Below are 8052 nucleotides of genomic sequence, written 5' to 3' on the forward strand. Positions count from 1 at the left end.
ATTAGGAAATAAAGATATTAGCATAAAAGAGGAAACAACGAATCTTAATTACCCATAATCCCATGACTTCATGTTTGTGTGAGATTATATAATAATATTGTTTCATGATCTGCCATTTTCACTCAGTGACATACTTTGCACGTGAAATACATTTTACATAAATATTTGTATAATTTGAGTAGTTATTACCTTAAGACTACTGGAAAGAAATCCCTTAGTTCTTCTACTGCACTCATTTCTTCTCTACAGCATTAATTTCTGGGGTAAATCCAGCTCTTTGGCTTGCATGGCCGTGTAGTTCTGAAGTTAGCTACGCAGGACTTAGCCACATTTCCCAGAATAGGATGTATGGTACAGCAGAATTCTTATTGAACTTGAAGTCAGAAGAACTTGCCCCTTCACTTACTATGGGTGACCTTGGACAGTATACTTGATTTCTTTGAATCTCATCAGTGAAATGAGTATGGGAATGTCTACCTTAACTGTGTGATGACAGAATTTGTGAGGATGAACTGAACAACTATATAAAAGTGGGAAATGCTGAAGAGCTCTACAAATGGAAGACATTAATAATATTAACTGAAATAGATTCCATAAATACTATGTGTAAGATCCTACCTTGATTTACCTCATTTATTCATCAAATCCACTGTCTGACAGAAGTATTATCATTAGTTATATTTTATAGTCTAAACAAATCTAGGCAGAAAGGTCAAATAATTTGCATAAGCTCACACAATCAGTGACTTAGATTTGATCCAATCTATTTCATTCTATAGTGTTGGTCCTTTCCCCCGATAGTAGTAAAAACTGTGGGCTCCATTGTTAGCCTGCCTGAGATCAGACGCCATCTCCAACTAGGCAAGTTACCTTTTCTGCCTGTTTCACTCTTCAAAAATTAGAGATACAATAATACCGACCTGATTTCTTTGGGTTTCATAAGTAGGAAATAAAATAATACATAGAAAAGACTTGGAATATTGCCTGACACAAAATAGTTGCCTTAAAACGTTAATTATTATTATTTTCAATGTTGCCAAGAGAACAAACCCTGTGGTGGTGAATTTGCATATGTAAACCTGTTAAACTAATACACAGTCTTTCTTTTCTCATAATATTGTCGCACTTGCACTTTATGTCCTAAGTTTTCTAGTAATCTTGAATGTACATAATGTTTGGTTGTACAAATAAATTTTCCTTTGTGAGGGAATTAGTTGTAATTGAGGGTAGAGTCAAAGTTTGTTCAGCTTAGTGAGCATTTAAAGGGAGCTAATAAACACCATGACTTGTATTTGAAAGTAGAAAATACCGACTTTCAATTGTCATTTCCCCCAAGGAAACCATTAACCAGCACAATTATTTTTAAATATCAACCTGAAATAACACTGTATTTTTATTGCTATTCTTTCTCTCTCCTTCTCTCTCTTTGGGATACAGTTTGGCTTTGAAAAAATATGGTATATATGCAGTGTTTGGTCAAATAATTTAGCACTATGGAAAAGGTTGTGAACCAGTCATAGTATTTGAGGTTGTAAGAAGAAACCTTTGCAAAGGTAGTGGCTGCACAAATGTATTAACTTAGTAATACAAAGTAGGGAGTTCTGAAACTGTGGTGGAAATATTGCCTGCCTTGACTACCTGTTCTTCTTGAGTCCGTTTGCTGATCAGAACTCAGGTAACTTAAAAGTCATACACCCTGGAAAGGAGTAAAGAAAGAGGAAAGATCCTCAGCGGCTATACAAGTGAGAGATATGGCAGAGTTCTAATAAGATTGAGTAAAAGCTTGATACTGTCTTACATGAAAGGAGCAAATAATTGTTCTACCTGGAATGTCCGGGCCCCAATTCACAAATGCATTCTTACCTTTTGAACTGAATAATGATCTCTTTCCCAATAAACTGTTCTAAGACAAAAAATCTGAAAGGAAAATTGTTGCACACACATCATATTCTTATATTCTGTATTTTCTGGGACAGTCTGTTTCAGATTAGATGATGAGTCCTAATTTAGGTTTGCAAAATATTATCAAGGCAAATCTTTATGAAGATTTTATTGAGATATTATTTTATAACAAAAAAATGGGATAACTGTAATGTTCAACAAAAAGATTGGTGGTAGAAGGAAGGAAGATGTTGGAGTGTTCAGTAACCTTACCCCAGAATGCTGCAGTACAAATTCTGTGAGAAGTCATTCTTGTGTAGTAGAGGCATTCATTTTTCTCCTAATATCCCTTCTGAAAATTCCCTTTTACTAGTCAGCTCTTAGCTTCTTGAAAGGAAGGCCCTTTGTCTAGGACAATGTTCATCTCACCACATAAAAATTCACAATTCATGGCACGTTAGTTCAATAAAATATTATGCTTTCTATGAATGATAATTATAAAAACTTGCTATAAATGGGAGCGAGTTTAACATTAAATCACATGAAACAGACATATTAACAAAAATAGATACATTAGAGCAATTGAATTATAAATGCTTTTTTCCTTCAAAAATTTTCCTTCATGTTATTTTCACATTCTTTTAGCAGCAAATGACAATGAACTGCCATTGATTTTATTTTATTTTTTGAACTTAAGTAGTGTATCCACAAGTATACCATTGCCCTGTCCAATCTTTAGGGGAGATATTCTATTATCTAAAACTCAGTAAATTGACCTATCATGTTGTTGGTGATATCTTATTTAGGTAAAAATATTAGGTATTTAGAACAATGCATTTCTGAATATTTTGACTGATATTATTATAGATGGATTTAGAATCTGCCCTTTAGGGGTCCAGAAGGAGGTAATGTTTGGATATCATTAGGCTAGAATATTTTATTGTCCTACAAAAATGTTGATAAATTGCTTATAAGGGCTTATGTATTAGTAATGACCATGTCACCAAAATAATAAACCCAAATATGATAAGAATCACAATCAGAAAATATATTTTTTCTTCTTTTATTTACAACCAACCAAACAAAATAACATAGCTATAATTTTGTCAATCTCAGAACAATAAATTTAAGTAAAATAGAACATAAAGAATTTTTATCACAGATGAATCAGATGGAAACTATCCAGAAAACACCCAAATATGTGTATTCCTCAGTTAATACTCAGTCTAGGTGCCAAAGGGAAACCACACGCTTCCATTTATCTATATGATTTGGCAACTTTAATTTGTAAGGGGTCCAACAGGTGTTTAATTTCATAGGCTGATATAGTCAATATCACTAGGTCCATATTTTTTAGATTTCAATAACTATATAATTCTGATTTCTCTTTGTTAGACTGTACTGATCTGATCATGGAGGAATAATCTAATATGCCTTAGATTATGTTGGAACTCCCCAGAACTTTCCTCAGGGCTGCCTTTATCTCCTTATTCTGGAGGCTATAGATAAGGGGATTGAAGAGTGGGGTCACCATAGCATAGAACAAAGTTTCAATTTTCTGCATCCCTGTAGAATGTCCGAGTCCTGGGCTCACATACATGACCATAAGAGGGCTATAGCACAGTGATACCACAGCCAAATGAGACCCACAGGTAGAGAAGGCCTTATGTCTCCCAGTGCTTGAAGGCATACCCAACACAGCTTTCAGGACAAGAGTATAGGATCCAATAATAAAGAGGAAGTTACCAAAAATAACTAATGAGCTTAGAGTGTAGCAAAACAGTTGGATTCTTGGGGCAGAAACACAATCCAATGCAAATAGTGGCCCTGGGTCACACACAACATGGTCAATAATGTTTGGGCCACAGAAGGGCTTCTGAGAGATGAGAACAATGGGGATCAGGAACCACAGAAATCCACAAACCCAGCACAGTATGACCAGTTTGGCATAGAGATGCCCAGTCATGATATTAGGATAGAGCAAGGGACGGCAGATAGCAAGGTACTGATCAAAGGCCATCACAGTCAAAAGCAAGCATTCTGATGTACCCAAAGAGAAGAAGAAATAAAACTGGAGAAAACATCCAGCAAAGGAGATGTTTTTTTTCTCTGAAAGGAAGTTGACCAACATCTTGGGAACTGTAGAAGAGACATACCATATCTCTAAAAAGGAGAAATTTCCCAGGAACATGTACATGGGAGTGTGAAGTCGCCGGTCACACCACAGGACAAAAGCAATGGCTCCATTCCCTGTTATAGTCAGTGCATATATTGTAGTAAAGAGTGAGAAGAGGAAGATCTGAATTGTCCACTCACAAGAGAAACCTTGGAGTATAAATTCATTTACAAAAGCAAAGCTGGAATTTGGCTCAGAGACATTCATTAGGCCAGTGACATGCAAGGTCAAGGGACACATTATCAGTCAGGACTCTTTTATAAAATGTGTTCCGGCCGGGCGCGGTGGCTCACGCCTGTAATCCCAGCACTTTGGGAGGCCGAGGCGGGTGGATCATGAGGTCAGGAGATCGAGACCATCCTGGCTAACAAGGTGAAACCCCGTCTCTACTAAAAATACAAAAAATTAGCCGGGCGCGGTGGCGGGCGCCTGTAGTCCCAGCTACTCGGGAGGCTGAGGCAGGAGAATGGCGTGAACCCGGGAAGCGGAGCTTGCAGTGAGCCGAGATTGCGCCACTGCAGTCCGCAGTCCGACCTGGGCGACAGAGCGAGACTCCGTCTCAAAAAAAAAAAAAAAAAAAAAAAAAAAAAAAAAAAAAAAAAAAAAAAATGTGTTCCTTTTTTAAGAATGAAGAGAAGATAATGAACATGAAGTCATTTTTCAAAAGAATAATTAGGAAGAGAATGTAGTTTACTTTTTCTCGGCTATACAGTATATGAGTTTTGGGCTTCGTAGGTAGCTGATTGAACAAAAACAAACTTCTGCCATCTTCTAAATCTCTCCTTAATATGCAATCGTGATAGAACTAGGTAAAGTTAAATTCCTTTTGTAAGGTCATTATTTTGAGACAGAAATGATTGAATATAGTTTCTGGATAGCATACAACTCAAAGTTAGTACTTTGAGAAGGCACAAATGTGTTAGTTTCTTACTGCAAACCCAACTTATGGTGCAATAGACTCAGTAAAGAAAGTTTTGACCATTTACATTTCAGCTAAACATATTACTTAACATTATTTACATATGCAAAAGAAATGCACATATTTTAAAATAAATTGGTAGCAATCACGTTAAAGCCATTATCTCTGAATTTCTATTGCTGCTGTTGTTAGCTTAAGTGATTATCTAATGTTACTCACCAATATTGATTTTTAATATTAATATTGTAAAGCTGCAATGTTTTCTGTAGAAAGCAAAGGCTTTAAGCTTCTGATTAATCTTTTACTTTAATTTCATAAACTGATATAGTGATTATTATATTGATAAAATCAATATAATATTGATTTAGTCATTATGTACAAAAGTTTGCAAAGATCTAGACATTAAACTTTACTTTTGAAGGTATTTCATAAAATTTTGAGATTGATTTTCCTTATATGCTTTTTTTAAAATTGAAAATTTTTACCAGATGACAGAAATCAAACACTTATTTTGTTATAGGTAAACTTCCTTCTTCCTACATTCTTATAAAAATATATTAGGGATTTGAGTTACCTGGAAAAAACTTTTCTTTTCCTCAGAAATATGGAGGGATGTGAGTCCTAGATATCAAGAGGACATTTTGAGCAGAAACACAAATTTTCAAAAGTTTTTCTTCCAACTTGCTCTCTACACCAGTGCTCTGGGAAGTCTTTTCGTATGACTAGTTAGAAGTTATGTTTGTGCTTCTTTTAGTAATATATGTCTCTTTAATAGGCTTCCAACCAGAATCATTAATAAACCAACATTAAGAAATTATGGAATGAAAAGGGATTGACACAGGAGTGTCATGATTCTCAGCAGTGCTCAAAAGGTGAAGCCATCATCGTTTTGACAGGAACCAAATCTCTAAATGATTTATTTTATAAATCATATTATGTCTTCAGCTAGACAGAGTTTTATTGTGGCCCCAAAATTAAAAATGCACTTTATGAAACTCACATTCTCCTGGGATGTAGCCTCTATAGCATTAGGAAAGTTATCTTCCAAGATGAATCTTTAAAAAGTTAATGATTACATATTCTCTGAAGAATCAGTAAAGAGTAATGACAACTATTCTAAGGCATCATTATTTACAAAGAGCTTGCCCACCAGACGGATTCCAGAAAATCTTCTGGAAGACACAGTCTGAGGAGAAATAAGATACAAAATGTTACCAAAAGTTTTGACATAATGTTTAGGAACATTTCAAGTGTTACTGTGCATATATTGGAGGATATACAGCCCAGTGAGGAAAATACTGAGGTTCCAACATTGTCACACATTGAACAAAAACTTACAGAATTTAGAAATAACTTTTAGAAGGATGGCACTTTTTTGCCAGAATCCTTTAGATATGAGAAGAAAGTATAAGAAGTAGCAACATTTAAGTTAATTAACAGAAATACTTCAGAGGAACATGTGATTTCCCAATTAATAGAGAGAAGTATTTACTTGTATTTATTAGTGTCTCTTCTATTTTTACTTTATGACATTTAGGGGCCAACATAGTGTAACTAAACACTCATGTGTGAGTGAATGCTCATACCAAGTGCTGTGAAGTAGTTGAGGACATCAGGGATGTATGCCCTAGGACCACAGACATCTGTCTAAAAGCAAACTTCCACTTTGAGAGACTACAGAGGAAAATGTTTATTCAGACCTTTATTATCACTTAGTCATAATACTTAGAAACTTCTAAAACATAGCTTTGATATTCTCATCTGCTCAAAAGCTGTCAATGATTTCAAGTTCCCAAGTTCTCCACAAATTGACTTCAAATGACTTTCTTGGTGTTATTTTTCCCTACTCTCTTTTGCAGATAAATTAGACAGTAGACAGCATTTCATTCTCTGAATAGCTTCAGTTTCTTATGTTCTCTTCTTTGTGATCATTTTCTGTATTTGGAATTCTATTTATCTCCATCTACATCTGTACAAACCCTCCTTCAAGGTCCAGTTCAAAAGACATTTTTTTTTTCCCAAAATGTTTTCCTCTCTTCCCCTAACCAAAGCACATTTTCCATTGTTGCTTTTTTTTTTTTTTTTTTTTTTTTTTTTTTGAGACAGAATCTCGCTCTGTCCCCAGGCTGAATGCAGTGTCATGATCTCAGCTCACTGCAACCTCTGCCTCCCAGGTTCAAACAATTCTTCTGCTTCAGCCTCCTGAGTAGCTGGGAATGCAGGCATGCGCCACCACACCCAGCTAATTTTTGTATTTTTAGTACAAACGGGGTTTCACCGTGTTGACCAGGATGGTCTCTATCTCTTGACCTTGTCATCCACCTGCCTTGGCCTCCTGAAGTGCTGGGATTACAGGCGTGAGCCACTGCACCCAGCCCCATCCTTGCATTTTTATTTTACCATCTTTGTGTCTTTGTCATGATACTAATCACAAGCTGCCTTATATCAGTATTCATCCATGATATTGGCTTGAAGTTTTTTTTGTTGTTGTTGTGTCTCTACCAGGTTTTGGTATCAGGATGATGCTGGCCTCATAGAATGAGTTGGACAGGGGTCCCTCCTCCTCAGTTTTTTTGGAATCATTTCAGCAAAAATGGTACTGGCTCTTCTTTGCATATCTGGTAGAATTTGGCTGTGAATCCATCTAGTCTTGAGCTTTTTAAAATATATATATTTTTTGGTTGGTAGGCTATTTATTACAGATGCAATTTTGGAGCACGTTATTGGTGTGTCCAGGAAGTTCCCCATCTCTTACAGGTTTTCAAGTTTGTGTGCATAGAGGTGTTTGTAGTAGTTTCTGATGGTTATTTTTTATTTCTGTGGGGTCAGTGGTAATATGGTCTTTTTCATTTCTAACTGTGATGTTTCTTTCAAAAGATTAGAATAACTAGTAAAAATTATACTTATTCTGAATATGGCTTCTAGGTGTTATTAAATGTTTACACCTTTAATTTACTCTGGTCAACAGTATAAGTTACCTTTGGGGCTTTTTTCTTAAATAATCTTGTCACTAAATCACTATACTTAATAAACAGCCTAGTTAAATGAACATGCATTTGAACATTAGACTCTAGAG

At 35.5% G+C, this 8052-nt stretch overlaps 1 protein-coding gene across 1 annotated transcript; it reads right to left on the reverse strand.

The window, feature by feature from the left end:
• Nucleotides 1-3316: 3316 nt before the first annotated feature.
• Nucleotides 3317-4264, reverse strand: OR11H2 (olfactory receptor family 11 subfamily H member 2). The gene has a single exon (NM_001197287.2). The coding sequence runs from the start codon at nucleotides 4262-4264 to the stop codon at nucleotides 3317-3319; it is 948 nt and encodes a 315-aa protein (NP_001184216.2).
• Nucleotides 4265-8052: the final 3788 nt, after the last annotated feature.

The sequence above is a fragment of the Homo sapiens genome, chromosome 14 (genome assembly GCF_000001405.40).
Source record: "Homo sapiens chromosome 14, GRCh38.p14 Primary Assembly".
NCBI classification, from domain to species: Eukaryota; Metazoa; Chordata; class Mammalia; order Primates; family Hominidae; genus Homo; species Homo sapiens.

Coding starts and splice junctions, on each gene's coding strand:
- OR11H2 (NM_001197287.2), bottom strand. CDS start 4,264: ATGAATGTCTCTGAGCCAAATTCCAGCTTTGCTTTTGTAAATGAATTT.